General features: G+C 38.1%; 2 long non-coding RNA genes across 3 annotated transcripts in view; one reads left to right on the forward strand and one right to left on the reverse strand.

The window, feature by feature from the left end:
* The window catches only part of LOC105378787 (uncharacterized), a 32,634-nt gene that overhangs the window by 11,549 nt on the left and 5,314 nt on the right, over positions 1-15,771 (forward strand). The window contains exons 5-6 of the long non-coding RNA XR_947486.2: positions 5,777-5,952; positions 9,757-9,826. This is a non-coding gene — a long non-coding RNA (uncharacterized LOC105378787). The remainder of the gene's footprint in view (positions 1-5,776; positions 5,953-9,756; positions 9,827-15,771) is intronic.
* Positions 7,231-15,771, reverse strand: part of LINC02791 (long intergenic non-protein coding RNA 2791) — a 33,693-nt gene continuing 25,152 nt past the window's right edge. For both annotated transcript variants that reach the window (NR_183659.1, NR_183660.1), the window contains one exon: positions 7,231-7,399. This is a non-coding gene — a long non-coding RNA (long intergenic non-protein coding RNA 2791). The remainder of the gene's footprint in view (positions 7,400-15,771) is intronic.

Consider the following 15,771-nt stretch of genomic DNA (forward strand, 5'->3'; position numbering starts at 1 on the left):
CTAGTATGTGATCTAGGACAGATTATTTAAATTCTGTGTGCCTAAATTTCCTCACCTGTAATAGCTGGGATAATAAAATACTGTAGTAGCTTTGAAGAATGAGGATTGTGTAAGAAACTTAGCATGGCACATAGGATACTGTATGAAGCAACGTTAGGTACTACACAGGGAATTGGAAAATCTCACCATCTGCTAATAACCAGAGAGGAACTGCTTTCGAGGACACATGGATGAGTATTTGGAGACTGAAAAGAGTAAAACTCAGAATGCTTACATCTGGGAGTGATATCAGGGGACAATATTAAACTATAGTATCTTAGTATAGCAAAGCCTGGTCATAGTAGGCTTTTGAACATGTATTGAATCAGTTAATCAACAAGTAAAGGAATGACCAGTAGCGTGGTGTGTCACATGTGACTGGAACATGAAATAGTTGATACAATAATATTTTAATTCATTCTTTTTTTGTAACTTACAGGGATTTCAATTTTATCTTAACATTGCATCACTGCCAAAAGTATTTCATAGCCAAATATTTTAAAGATATCATGGATATGTATGGATATACTAAAATCTGTGATGAAGTACTTTCACCCTGGCCTATTTCAAACTACCTGTGTAATATCACTGAATGCAGAGATGGAAAAAGACAAACAGAATTAGCTCTTTTGAGCTGGTATGAACGAACTACAGCAAACCACCACTTTATTCTATCAGGATCTTCTACATGTATATGGTGACCTAAACTCCTCCCATCTTTTGTTACACAGCCTGCCTGTTAGCAAAGTGTGGAAATGTTTTGCATTTCCTTATGTCGTATTGCTTATTACACACTTTCTTGAGTGGGCAACAAGGGAAAACGTTATAGCGCATGCATACTTCCTGGGGACAGTATTTCAGGTCCATGAAATTGTTCTATCATGTGTATCACACACAAAATGCATTGAAACCCGATGGTGTAAGAGGAGGCCAATCTAATTTGATCCTTTTTTTGAAGACACAGAGACTTGCTCATGCCAGTGCCCAGAGAAGATGAAGTCCTAAGAGTTTGACTAACTTGTCCTAACTGAAGTTTCTATGACACTGAGACAGACAGAAAACTGCCATGTCTGCATGACTAGAATAGAAAATATTCTTTTATTAGAAAGCAAAATGAACCATAAGCTACCAACTGACTTACTATAAAGTTAAGCAACAGATGCTGAAAGTCCATCGATCAAGTCTTTCTTTTCTTTTTTTTTTTTTTTTTTAAGTTAATAACTCTACACTTTAACTGGATCAAAATAAGACCTGATGCTCCCATTTCACTTTAGGGATGGTCTTACCAATGACACTGTTGGTTAAAGTTGCCTTTACCAATGCAACTAATAGTGGAATGGCTCCTACCAGAAATTGCTTCAGTTTTCTTTTTCAGTGATCCCATGGCTGATCACACTCATTCCTCAAACATCACTGCACTATTTCTTTATGTGTTTTTATATTTTTAATCAACTTATAATCTAATCCTAGGTGATAAAGTATTCTCTCTCAGAGTTACTGAATATCTCCACTCTGACCATTACATTATACAAGTTAGCCCTTGAACAACACAGGTGCAAATAGTGCAGGTTCACTTACACACAGATTTTCTACTGCCTCTGCCACTCCTGAGACACCAAAACCAACTCCTCCTTTTTCTCTTCCTCAGCCCACTCAACATGAAAATGATGAGGATGAAGACCTTTAGGATGATTCACTTAAATATATTTTTGCTGGGCACAGTGACTCACACCTGTAATCTCAGCTATTAAGTAGGCTGAGTCAGGAGGATCTCTTGAGGCTAGGGGTTCAACACCAGCCTGGGCAACATAGTGAGACTGCATCTCAAAAAAAAAAATCCTTTAAAAATTAGCTGGAAGGCCGGGCGCGGTGGCTCACGCCTGTAATCCCAGCACTTTGGGAGGCCGAGGCGGGCGGATCACGAGGTCAGGAGATCGAGACCATCCCGGCTAAAACGGTGAAACCCCGTCTCTACTAAAAATACAAAAATTAGCCGGGTGTAGTGGCGGGCTTCTGTAGTCCCAGCTACTTGGGAGGCTGAGGCAGGAGAATGGCGTGAACCCGGGAGGCGGAGCTTGCAGTGAGCCTAGATCCCGCCACTGCACTCCAGCCTGGGCGACAGAGCGAGACTCCGTCTCAAAAAAAAAAAAAAAAAAAAAAAAAAAAAAAAAAAAAAATTAGCTGGAAATGGTGATGTGTGTCTGTGTCCCAGCTGCTTAGGAGGCTGAGGCAGAAGGATCCCTTGAGCCCAAGAATTTGAGGTTGCAGTGAACTGTGATTATGCCACTGCACTATAGCCTGGGCAACAGAGTGAAAAACCTATCTCTTAAATTTTTTTTTTCTTATGATTTTCTCAATATTTTTTTTTTTTACTGTAGCTTACTTTATTATAAAAATACAATATATAATACATATAACATACAAAATATGTGTTGATTGACTTTTTGTTGTCAATAAAGCTTCTGATCAACAGTAGGCTATTAGTGGCTAACGTTTTTGAGGAGTCAAAAGTTATACATGACTTTTCAACTGCATAGGGTGTCAGCCCCCTTGACTCTCATGTTATTTAAAGGTCAAATTTATTTTATTCTCACAAATTCACTGTCAGATGATAATCTTTTCCCCTAATTTCCAAGCTGTTGTGGGCATCTCACCATTGCTAAATTTGTAGCAACGTAGCGTTGCTACAAAGTTAGTAGCAAATATAATATTGGAAGGAGTTTGGTTCAGGGTTTTATTTATTCAACCCAAAATACTAACTGTTCCTTTACTATGTGCCATATTTTGTGTGTGGCATTGGGAATACAATTATCAGCTGGACAGATGATCCCAGATTTCATGCACATGTAGACCCACTAGTTTTACAACTTACTAGCTGTCTAAATGTGCAAATCAGTTCATCTCTTTAAGCCTTGGTTTCCTAGGCTGTAAAAATGAGTATAATATTTACCTTGCAAAGTATATTGGGGAAATAATAAAAAACAAAATCTTCCCTCAACCTGAAAATCCTCTGTACGAAGGTAGTACAGAAAGAAAATAGTTTTATGATTAATTAAACATTAATCCAGAATGTGATTATTCATCATATGAAATCCACTGAGAGGCTGCAAAGACAGGAAGAGCTCTCACCATTTTATATAGCCAAGCAGATACAACCTATTATATACATGTTCACACGATAAAGAACTGGTTCTCAAATAAGAGGATTTGACAGTACCATTTGTCGCCCATAGTTCATCCTAACTTTACCTAATAATTGAGGTGACCATCTGAGTTAGGTAATTGGCTTTGGCCACAGCAAAAACAAACTTCTCGTAAGTTTCTGAGAGGAACTAGTTCTACAACTTGGAGCAAGGTGCTCAGGGAATTTAGGCTATTACTCTCTCATGGAAACTGGGAGATAGGAGTTCTATTTCTCTATTACTCTCTCATGGAAACTGGGAGATAGGAGTTCTATTTCTCTTGATGGTTACATTTCAAAGAGATAGTTTTCAGGTGTTTGAGACAGACATTCCTGTGTCATTAAGTTGACAAAAGCCTAGTTTTCTTTTTTTTTTTTTTTTTTTTTTTTTTTTTTTTTTTTTTGAGACGGAGTCTCGCTGTGTCTCCCAGGTTGGAGTGCGGTGGCGCAATCTCGGCTCACTGCAAGCTCCGCCTCCCGGGTTCACGCCATTCTCCTGCCTCAGCCTCCCAAGTAGCTGGGACTACAGGCGCCCGCCAACACGCCCGGCTAATTTTTTGTATTTTTAGTAGAAACGGGGTTTCACCGTGTTAGCCAAGATGGTCTCGATCTCCTGACCTCGTGATCCGCCCGTCTCGGCCTCCCAAAGTGCTGGGATTACAGGCGTGAGCCACCGCGCCCGGCCAAAAGCCTAGTTTTCAAAATAATTTATGTACATTTTAAAGAGAGGAGAAAGGTACTTATAATTTTAAGTATTCTAAAGTGAATGCTCCAAGCAAAAGAAGGGGGGAGGTCTCTTCCTTTGTTTGCAATAGGGAGTATCAATCCTGTGGTTTTTAATTTTTATTTGTCCTTACAGTTGTTGTCAGAATTGACTAATGTATGTAGAAATGCAAAGGCACTTTGTAAGCTCTTAAATGCTTTTACAAACTGAAAGTATAATTAACTGGAGTGGACATTTTGGTTCAGACATCTAGAAGGCAGATGGGTTAAGAGGGGCACTGTTGGAGAGGACCTAAATTGAGATAGGGAAGTGGGAAGGAGCAAGCCTCTTGAGGACACGGCAGAGCACTTTGCACCATTAGAACAAATGTGTTGGGAAAGAGTGGAGAATAATACTGTACCGAGAGTATGTTGGAATTTAAATGTCACTAGGGTAATGTAATATTTTTCTGATAGTCAAGAGACAAGATGAAGCAATGGTAATTTCCTCACGGAGGAATGACATGAAATTCTCTCTGTTACAGTTTGGATGGTTTGGACTTATGGAATGACTGACAGTTGAGAGCCCAGGTGTTATCTATCATCTGATGGATCTGGTTTTAAATTCAAGGTTCAATACTTACCAGCAAGACAAATTCGGACTGATCTCTTAATCTCTCTGCATCTCATTTTCGTTATCACTCTGTGCCTTGGTTTATTTCCTCATTTATAAAACTGGGATAATACCCACTCAGTAGAATCACTAAGATTTCTAAGTGTTTAGTCAGTGTCTGACATATAATAAATGTCAGTAATGATGACTATTATGACCACTATCTTCATTATGAACAAAAATAATAAATGAGTTTAGAGGGTTTTGGAATACTTACTGATCTATATAAAGGCTGTTGAGTGCCTGGTTTGGTTTCTAGTTTTCTACATTGTATAGAAAAGTAGCAAGTATTGCTGATAGGTTGAAAGTTTAATTAACAGAAATTGGACAATAATTTGGTGAAATAAATAGACAAGATTGTCATCTGTGGTACATGGGTTGCTTTATTGGGCCCAAATCTTCACCCTTTGTTGTGGAAACTTGAAGCTCCTTTTTGTAAGAGGCAGAGTATATTTTCTATATGCATTGCTGTGTCCAATGAGGTGTTGATAGAAATGAGCTAACAGAGACTTGCGAAAGCAACTGCGCATTTCTAGTCTCTTACAGCTTTGCTATTACCATGAGAATAATGTGTCTGGAGCAACCTGTGACAGTTTGAGAGAGGAGTAGGACAGAGTCAAATTGCTCCAGTCATCCCAGCTGACAACCAGGAAACCTCCAGACCTGTGAGAAAGCCCAACTAAGAACAGAAGAGCTAATTCCATATGCATAAGCTGTCAACTTTTTGTTGCGTATCACTGAGATTTGTGGTTGTTTGTTACTCAAAGGGGACAGCTAACTGATACATCAACAGACAAATATAGTATCAAACCTTCGTCAGAAAGAAAAGAAAAAGTAGCAGCTACCTTACAAGGTAATTTGTTGTAAATATTAAAACAGAAAAAGTACACAAAGTCCCTGACGCTTAGGAGACATTTAGTAAGGTCTAGTTTCTGAGACTAAAGGAGTCAACTTCCAATAAATATCTATAAAATTTTTACAAAGCATTGCATTTTAAAATTTGTGATTAGTCTTTATTAGACCCAACAAAGAAAAATATGGATATGCTATTTTAGAGTCCTTAATGCTGGATTTCTGTATAACTTTGAAATAGACTTTTTTTCTGAATTTTTATGTATTGCTTTAAAATATCCATTTTATATTGACAGACATTAAAATAAGTCTCTCTTTTAACAATGCAGTGCTCAAGATGAGACTTTATTTCCCCGCATTAATGCAATGGCCTTATTCTCCGTTCCCACAATGGACTCAAGCAGTCAATGATTGGTTAAATTGTTCATTCTGCCTCTTGCCTGGGAGGCTTTTGCTGTGAGCATGCATCAAGCACAAAATCTGACTGCCATGGAACATTAAACAGGTATTCTCCTTTTTAAACTTTGTGATCTCAATTTCTTGGAGTTATCCAATAGAAAACAGATGCAAATTAAGAGCTCAATTCACAAAAATAATAGGTAGCATTTATATTGGCTTCCTATGGAGATACTGCAAAAAAAGTGCAGAAGGCACAGTTAGCACATCCAAATGAAATGTGTGTTCCTGCAGTTTCATAAATAATCTTGTTCTCTTCCAAATATTGACCTTTCTGGGCTGAATGCAAGGTAAGCGTAGGTCCAAACAGGATAGAATCATAGCGAAAAGCCACCTCTCTTTAGAACATGTCAATGCTTTTATGTGCTCTACTGCTTATTTTCTAGACATACTGGAGAAGAGGAGTATTTTATTCAGTCTGACTCATGCCTACTGAAGAGTGAATTAAAGGGCTAGGAAGCTGACCAGTTTCTGACTCTCTCTCAACTGATAAAAAGACTCTAGCATCCTAGAGAGTCCATTAAGAAGGAGATTCTTTGGTTTGCTGTGTGTGTTTGTGTGTGTGTGTTCATTTTTGTTTTCTGTTTGGTTGTTCACTAGCTTTAGTTTTGCTTTATGAAAGAAAGAAAGAAAGAAAAAGTCCTGGAAAAGATAGACTATGCTGCTCTGCGATGATGAATTTATGTCACTCTTTAAGAAAGCTGTGATCATGTATTACCCTACATTAATTAGTGAGAGTTAACACATAGACTTTGATTTTCCCTAGAAATTTTGTAAACTTTGGTGGCAATAATGGAAAGAGAAATAGCTGCATGAACCCAAAATGTTGCCTATTATTTAGGAAACTGGAAAAGCAATAGGAAGGTTGAATATAGCACCAACTTCCACGTGGAACTTGTTTTAGATGATCATTTGGCCTGAACCATTTGTACAGTCACATCAATTTTATTGAGGACTTTCATCAGGAAAACCTGTTACATATGCAGCACAACTAGGCGCTCAAAACTCACTTCTTGATATGAAGTGAGGCTGAGCTGGGGAGATAGTAAAGCTAAGTATTGGTCACTTGCACGGTAGGACAAGATGGAGATAAACAGTTGGATTCTTTGACATATCCAAGTATTTGGCTTACAATAGGTAGAATGGCCCCTGATTGTTCATTTTTCTTATAATTATTTTGGGAAGACAAAATCATTAATAAAGAGATCTTGAGTATAAGGAAGGTATCAACTTCCACTCCAGCTCTTGCATCTTAGATGTCTGCTGGTATCTTATGCCAAAGTGAACTCAATTTATAAATGCAAGAAACAGACTTCAATACCTGTTCTGTCAAATTTCCCCTGACCAGTTTTTATTTATTTTCAATGCTTCTTTTCTGCTGTCCTTTCTACAGCTCTCATACTCCAGGCTCAAAATTTTACTGTTGTTGAGAACTGGCCTATGTCAAGATGTCTGTGTACAATTATTAGGTTATTTGCAGTAGATTTTGGTAGCACCTAAAATTAGATGGAAATGAGAGTTAGCTACTTTCTTTCAACATCAGTACTTGGATATCAGATTATCATAAAAGCAAGTGTCAGCAAATTCAGCCATACTTAGAGATATTTCTTAAAAATGATATATATTTTAGAGTGAGAACATGCGGTACTTTGTTTTCTCTTCCTGTGTTAGTTCGCTGACAGTGATGGTTTCCAACTTTATCCAAGTCCCTGCAAGGACACGAACTCATCCTTTTTTGTGGCTGCATAGTATTCCATGGTGTATATGTGCCACAGTTTCTTTATCCAGTTTATCATTGGTGGGCATTTGGGTTGGTTCCAAGTCTTTGCTATTGTGAATAGTGCTGCAACAAATATATGAGTGTGTGTGTCTTTATAGTGGAATGATTTATAATCCTTTGGGTATATACCTAGTAATGGGATTGCTGGGTCAAATGATATTTCTGGTTCTAGATCCTTGGAGTTGAACAATGAGAACACATGGACACAGAGAGGGGAACATCACACACTGGGGCCTGTTGGGAGGTGGGGTAGGGGAGGGATAGCATTAGGAGAAATACCTAATGTAGATGACAGGTTGATGGGTGCAGCAAACCACCATGGCACATGTATACCTATGTAACAAACATGCATGTTCTGCACATGTATTCCAGAACTTAAAGTATTAAAAAAAAACCAAGAGAGAAAAAAAGAAATGATATTTATTTTAAATGCAGTTCCACAATAACAGCTCAGTAGCCTATTTCATACATTCAGAGATGTACCAATTCTCTGTCCTTTAGGTGCTATGAATATAACATACCAAAGAGGTTTACTACAGAACATGCAACAATATAGAAACAGGATACAGCTAGGCTTACAGGCATCATTAGGCAAAGAGAATACTCAGATGTCATAGCTGGATGCAGATCCATTTCAGAATCCAGCCCTCAGTACCATCCTGGGGAGTGATTGGCAGATACCTCACTGGACATTTTCTTCATGCTAGGGAGAGGGATGCCTTCAAATATCTTGAGCAATGCGTGGATCTTGAATACTACTAATTCATCACCATTGGGAACCTATTTTAATATTTAAGTTAATTAGCAAAGCCTTTTGTATTAATTGATGATAAATATGGCTGACTCATAACTGCCTCTGAAGACACCTATGAATTCATAAGTTAACAACTAGTCCTAGATTATGAATTGAAACACACACACACATCCATATTGTCTGCAAGTTCATAAATTACAGAGCTATATACAATACATATATACAATATAATAGTTATCAAACTTTTTTCTGGCCCTCTCAGCTTTTTTAACACTCACATCTTGAGCCTGGCTGTTTGGTTAATGAACGTTAGTGTTCAATTTGGGACCTGCTGTGGTTTACAACGTGATTTCAGAAAGCATACCCCCATTTATACCCCTCACCCAAAGTCTTCTGTATCTCTAGCCACAAAAACCCCCTAGGCAGTGCCAACCCTCAGTAGAGGAGGGGAGGCTAACAGAGGAGGGGAGGCTGGAGAGAGTAATACTTCCAATTATTTCCAGAATGTTGAAGAGTGAAGTAGATATGATTAAGTAGCAATGAGAAGTGGCATTGAACAACAACAACAAGAATTTCTGATTGAGTATAGTACAAATAATATGCAGAGGTTTTGGATTGAGTTTTCTTTGTATTTGAAATCTGACTTCATCTTTTACTTTATATGGCCTAGTATATATTGCTTAACCTCTTTGAATCTTAGTTTTCTTACCTGTAAAATGGGGATAATTTTTACTACATTACAACACATATGAAGTGCTTAGGTACTGCCTGAGCATATCTTACTTCGATAAATGGTATTAGTGGCAATGTTAGTAGTACTCTATTATTATTGTTGCTGTTGTCAATATTATTGTACATCCTAAGAACTATATGTGAATTTGTAAGAAATCATTGAGACCCATAAAGTGAATAAGGTTTTTAAGGAGCACATGGAATGAATTGGTATGTGAATTGGTTACCTATAAACACTAGACACTACTAGTAATTAGTATAAATGAGCAATTCTATGTGCACAGATTGCTTATCACATATGGGTCTTTAAAACCCTACCTGTATTCTGGATTGTCTTCAGTAGTGCTGTTTCCATTCATAAAAGACAGCGAATGCAGATTTATATGTGCATATAAAGTATAATATATTTTTCACATGGGTTTGACCCCAAAGAGAAGAATGCCAAAGGGGATCTTAAGAATCTGAATTATAATCCTAAAAGGAAACAATTCATTATTTTCACAGTAAGTATTCTAGTGCAGCAGTTACTAATTTTAAGTTTTGTATAGACCAGATCTTTGTTGTAATCTAAAGTCTACCTCTTACAGGCTGTGAAACCTCAGTTGTAACATCAATAAAATGGGAAGAACAAAAAAGTTGCTGTGAAGATAAAATGAGGTAATGCATGGAAAGCATTTAATATAGAAGCTGGCATAAAGTAAATGTTAACTATATCAACTTGACAGCTAAGTAGAAAAATAGAAAATCTCTCAAATGTGCCTCTGATATGTTAAACCTGATTTTAAAAAATATTGCTACATGGCATATTTGGGTCCATCAAAAAATTATTAATATTTTGGCTACCGGGAAAATTTTTGACTATGAACACACACTTTCAACAGGCACAATGAAGGTTTGTGATTAATCTTAGATCACTGTGTAGGAGAAGCACAGTGCCATAATCTAAAGATGATCTCGATGGGAACTGAGCTAAAGACCATCTGACCCCACTTAAACACAGCCTCCACCTTAGACTGTCGTGTCGCCATGAACCACAGCTTAATTTTTCTTCTCAGGCAGGTCCTGTCAACTGATTGTGGAAGGAAAATGAGAATTTCAGATGCCTGCTGAGATCTGTGGATGGAGTACTTTGTCCACAGGGCACTGAGCTCTGGCCAAACCAAAGACTTGTACTGCATAGATGTTCTTCAATCTCTATAGCTGGGAACTCTCTTCTTTTTGTAGTGCTTGCCCATTGTAGATGTTTAATAAGTTTGCATTACGTACAGGAGAAACTATGAAAGTCCCTTATAAATATAACAACCATAATGATAAAAGGAAATGTGTTTGCTTTTCCACATACATTCCAGGCCCTGGGCTAAACACTCTTTTAATCCCCACAATGACTATACAAAATAAGCACTATTATTTTCTTTGGTTTTACAGATGAAGACGCTGAGTCTTAAGAAATCAAATATCTGCTCACAGTTGCACATCTAACAGACATATGGATTCAGGCAATATGACTGCAGAGAGTAGATTGTTAACCTTTAATCTATAGTACTTCTTTTTCGCAACTGTCCCTAACCATTAAGTTATAGGAGAACACCAGCAACAAATCCTAGAGAAAGTTGCTGTTTTAGAACTGAACAAATGTGTTGCAAGGCCAAAGCCACTCTGTGCATTAAGGTCAAAGCATTGCTCACCCTCGACGAATAATTAAGACAATCCTCTACTACCCTTAAAATTGGCTGGAAGCCTTTCACAGTCTCACGCCTATTTTACATTTTTGTCCCATCTCTCTCCACTAGCTCCTCACGCCTTTTCTCCAAGTCTAAGCTCCAAACATATTACATTACTTTCATTTAATTATCTCGGCTCACTGCAAGCTCCACCTCCCAGGTTCACGCCATTCTCCTGCCTCAGCCTCCCGAGTAGCTGGGACTACAGGCACCCACCACCACACCTGGCTAATTTTTTGTATTTTTAGTAGAGACAGGGTTTCACCATGTTAGCCAGGATGGTCTCGATCTCCTGACCTCGTGATCCGCCCGCCTCAGCCTCCCAAAGTGCTGGGATTACAGGCGTGAGCCACTGCACCCGGCTGAACAAGCCTACTTTTACTCCTGTCAAGACTCTGCACTGTTCTTCCCACTGGCTAGAATACAGTCTTCTCCTTTTCTCTTATCAGTATTCCAGTGTTCTGCCTAGTATAAGCTGGACCTGGAAAGCCAACGGCCTGACTAGAGGATGAGTGATTCTCTCTGACAACCTAGCTTTGGTGTTTGCCCCTGACATTAGGGGCCCACATCCAGCCAATTACATTTCCCAGGATTTTACATCTTTTTGAAATAGCACATTTGTCAAGGAAGCAGGAGCAGAAAGCGTTTGGTGCATGCAAAGGTAGAAAAACTCCTGAATTTAAAAGCACTAAACTAGGAGTCAGGCTCCTAGACGCTGGGGTGTGACATCAGTCTGTTTTTGAGCATCTAAGTCCTGGCTAAACAATTACTGCTATGCATTTGTCACAGTCGATATTGAAGATCCTATAGTTGGAGACTGTGAGAATAATAACATTTAAGGCTCATGCACATTTTCTTTACAATTATTCATTGTTCATCTTGTGTGTCTGTCATCATGGAAGCTACAAAATACCATGTAGATGGCACCTACCGAGCAATAACACTTTGAACAAATGGCCTAAAAGTAGCTGAGAAAAGAAGGACAAGAAAAGATAGAACAATAACGTATCCTGGAAGCCAGATTCTCATTGCATGTATGTATGTTTAAACATTTACAATTAAGAATGGCTTTAGCATTTCATGGGGGAAAATGAACAACAAAAGAAAAATGCAAACATATCTTTTAAGGTTGGCCTTTTCATTTCAACACACTGAATACTTTATCATTTAGGAAAATCTCAAGAAGAGATTATTTAGTAATTTAATAACATTTAATAATATTTAAATAAATTGTAAATAAATTTATTTAACAATATTATTTTGTTATTAGATTTTATTTTTAAAATTTAATAACAATATTATTTATTGTTATTAAAATCTATTTTATATAAATTTTATTTTATTTATTAAATTTTATTTATTAAATTTTATTAAAATTTATTGTTATATAAAAACAATATTATTTATTTTGTTATTAAAATTTATTTTAAAATAAATAATATTATTTAACAATATACGCTTTTAACTTCTCTCTCTCTCTGTTTTTTTTTTTTTTTTTTTTTTTGAGATAGGGTCTATCTCTGTCACTCAGGCTGGAGGACAGTGGCATGATCATAGCTCACTATAATTTCAATCTCCTAGGCTCAAGAGATCCTCCCAACTCAGCCTCCCAAATAGCTGGGACTACAAGTGCAGGCCACCACACCTGGCTAATTAAAAAACAAAAATGTTGTAGAGATAGTATCTGTGTTGTCCAGGCTGGTCTCAAACTTCTGGCCTCAAGCTATCCTCCAGCCTTGGCTTCCCAAAGCACTGCGATTGCAGTTGTGACCTAACATGTGGGGCTGATCTCTTTTTCAATTTTCCCACACTGATGACTGACAAGACAGGGCTTATCACCACCATCTTTTGTACTTTACAAATGGGAAAAAAGAAATAGGGAGGATGAGTGATTCAGAACATTGAACCTTCAAATTATTTATCTTCTAATTTCAATGACGTTCTCCAAATTTCTCTCTGTGCTCTCCCATGTATCATTAGGCTTTAGAACTAATGCCTCAAAAATCTGGTCTTTATTATGAAAAAAATAGCCACTTGCCAACGGGTCTTATGTTGTGGAAACTCAGCCTCTGTAGTCAGAAAATTATTTTGCCTATTCTTCTCTCTCCCTCTCCCTTGTAAGTCTTTGTTCACAATCATCCTTCTTTATAAAAGGATAGCAGGCTTCAGAAGCCAGGGGGAGTAAAGAGTGAGAACATTCTCACTGGGTCTTGGCCTGCTTCCAGCTCCAAGAAGGGTATCATTTTCAGTGTCATGCTTCCAGTTTCCCTGGAAAGGTCTCACCTCTTTTCCCACACCCCAGCCCTCCCTAATCTTGCCAGCTTGTGTCTGAATTGTCTCTGTTCATCTCCACCTTTTCAAAAAACCTAGATGCTTATCTTAGCTATACCATTACAAGCTCCTCTTCTTATCTTTTCTAACTTTTGTCACTGATACGAACCCCTGTTGTCAGGGCTGATTATTGAGATTTTAATCTTTTTTCATCTATATATGCCTCTGTTTTCTGAATGAGAGAAAGCCTGGATACTGACTTTGAAGGACGGTACATATTTGCTCGTCTTATTTCCTCCAAGGGACACAGAGGCAACATGTTTATGTTTACTATGATGTTATAATTCCAACAGGATTTGCATAACAGAATACACTTCACTATCATCACCTTATATCAGACCCCCATTACCTTTTAGCCTGTATTATAACAATTGCCTCTTAACTAGCTTCCTTGTGTCTTTCCAAGCAGCGTTTCTCAGTAATGGCAAATAGAACTATCTTTCTCAAATGGAAATTCTCTTTCTCTTCTCTTGTTTAAAACCTCTCACTCAGAGTCTCCCAACAGTCTTCAGGACTAGAATCCACATGCTGTAGAATCAGCTCTCAAACCTTCCACCCTATAGCCCCTGGTTATCTCTTCGGCCTCCCTCCTCTCCTTTCATTCTTTTTGTCATCCATATTTCTTGCAACTTCCTAAACATGCCGGCCTCTCTTGTGACTCTAGAGTTTGGCACATGTTGTCTTACTGTTTAGGATGCCCTTACTTCTGCCTGGCCACTCAATTCTACAGGACTTACTCAAGCATTATCATCTGTAATTACACAAACACCATGGACCTAGGAAAAGAATTCTTTGCCTAGGCTCCAACAGCACAATTTCCTGATAATTTTTTATAGTCTGAGAACAAGTGTTCACATTATTCATTCTGTGCCTCAGTGCCTCGCACAAAGTGAATGATCAGCAAATAATAATTGAATGAACTGTTGATATTCTATGCTCTGTATATGAACATGCACAATACTCCTTCTATAATCCCACCTGCTTAGAAATTGGTCTATTAGCGGTCAAGCAGGATACCACCAAAGTGACAGGCAGAATTCCATCTCTTTGACTGACTCTTCAGGCTACTCCAGGCCACTGTCTGAGTCTCCATTTTAATCACATATTTTAAACTATTTATTTATTGAGTTCCTACTAGGTGCTGGTACTGTTCTAGGTGCTAAGGGCAGTGATGAACAAAACAGGTAGAGTCTCTTTCTCCTGGAATTCAAATTGTATTTGGAGAGACAAAAGACAGACACACAAATCAATAGATACATGTAAATAAATATGCCCAAGTTGTAAGAGTTACAAAAAATGTAACAGGATAAAGAGGTTAAAGAAGCATGTGGGTAAAATTTTAATTAAGATGGTCAGTAGAGGCATTTCTGCTAAGGTGATATTTGAGCAGAGACCTAAAGGAAATAAAGGAATGAGCACATGCACTTTTTTAGGGATAGAGCATTCCAGGCAGAGGGAACAGTGAGGTCAAAGAGCCTGAGGGAAACCCATGCTTAATATAGCCACCAAAACAGCAAGGCTGCCTGGGATTGTAGCATAGTGAACAAGGGTCAGGTGGTAAAAGACAAGGTCAGAGAGTTGGCAGAGACCATGTCATGCAAGGCACGAAGCTCATGGTGAGGTATTTGCTTTTTACTGGGAGGGGAATCTAATTGGGGGATTTTGAGTAGATTTGTGGCATGATCTGACCACTTTTTAAAACTCTGACTCTTCTATAGAGTGGATACTCTTGCCGGGGGTGGTGGGCAACTGTAAATGCAAAGAGGCCAGTTAGGCACTGCTAGTGATATGGACTAGGGTGGTAGCAGGGAAAGCAGGGAAAAACAGTTCTAGATTTATTTTGAAGGTCTATTTCATAGCATGAAATTTTTGCTTAAGAATTGGATTTGAGATGTGTGAGAAATAGAACAATCAGGGGTGACTCAAAAATTTCATTTACTGAGAGCAGGAAAACTGTAAGAAGAGTGGACTTAGCATGGGTAGACAAGAAGCAAAGGATCAGAGTTAGATGTTAAAATGTATAGATAAAATATAGATATTGATACAGATACAGTTACACGTGGATTACAGATAGAGATGCTACATCTATATCTGTAAGTGGAGATCTTGAGTCAGTAGTAAGATAAATAAGTTTGAGATGAAAATCCAGGAATCATCTAAATATGAGCGGATTTGCAACCATAGGAGTGGAAGGCATCACCAAGGGAATGAGTAGAGGCACAGAAGATGCAGGGCAGGAGCACATGTTTAGAGGCCAGGAGAAGCCGTCAGAAGACACTGAGAAAGAGAAACATCAATTACGAGCAAAACCAAGAGAAAATATTGTCTTGGAAACCAAGTGAAAAAGTAGGTTCAAAGAAAACATTATCAGTTGTTTCAAATGCTGCTAGTAGGCTGAATAAGATGAGGACTGTGATTACCCCAGAATCTGGTAATGTGCAGCTTATTGATGACCCTGACAAATGCAGCCTGAGGGAGTAGAGGGAACAAACCTGCTAGAAGCAAGTTTATGAGTGACTAGAGAGTAAACAGACAAAGGAATATAGCCAA

The sequence above is a fragment of the Homo sapiens genome, chromosome 1, assembly GCF_000001405.40.
Source record: "Homo sapiens chromosome 1, GRCh38.p14 Primary Assembly".
NCBI classification, from domain to species: domain Eukaryota; kingdom Metazoa; phylum Chordata; class Mammalia; order Primates; family Hominidae; genus Homo; species Homo sapiens.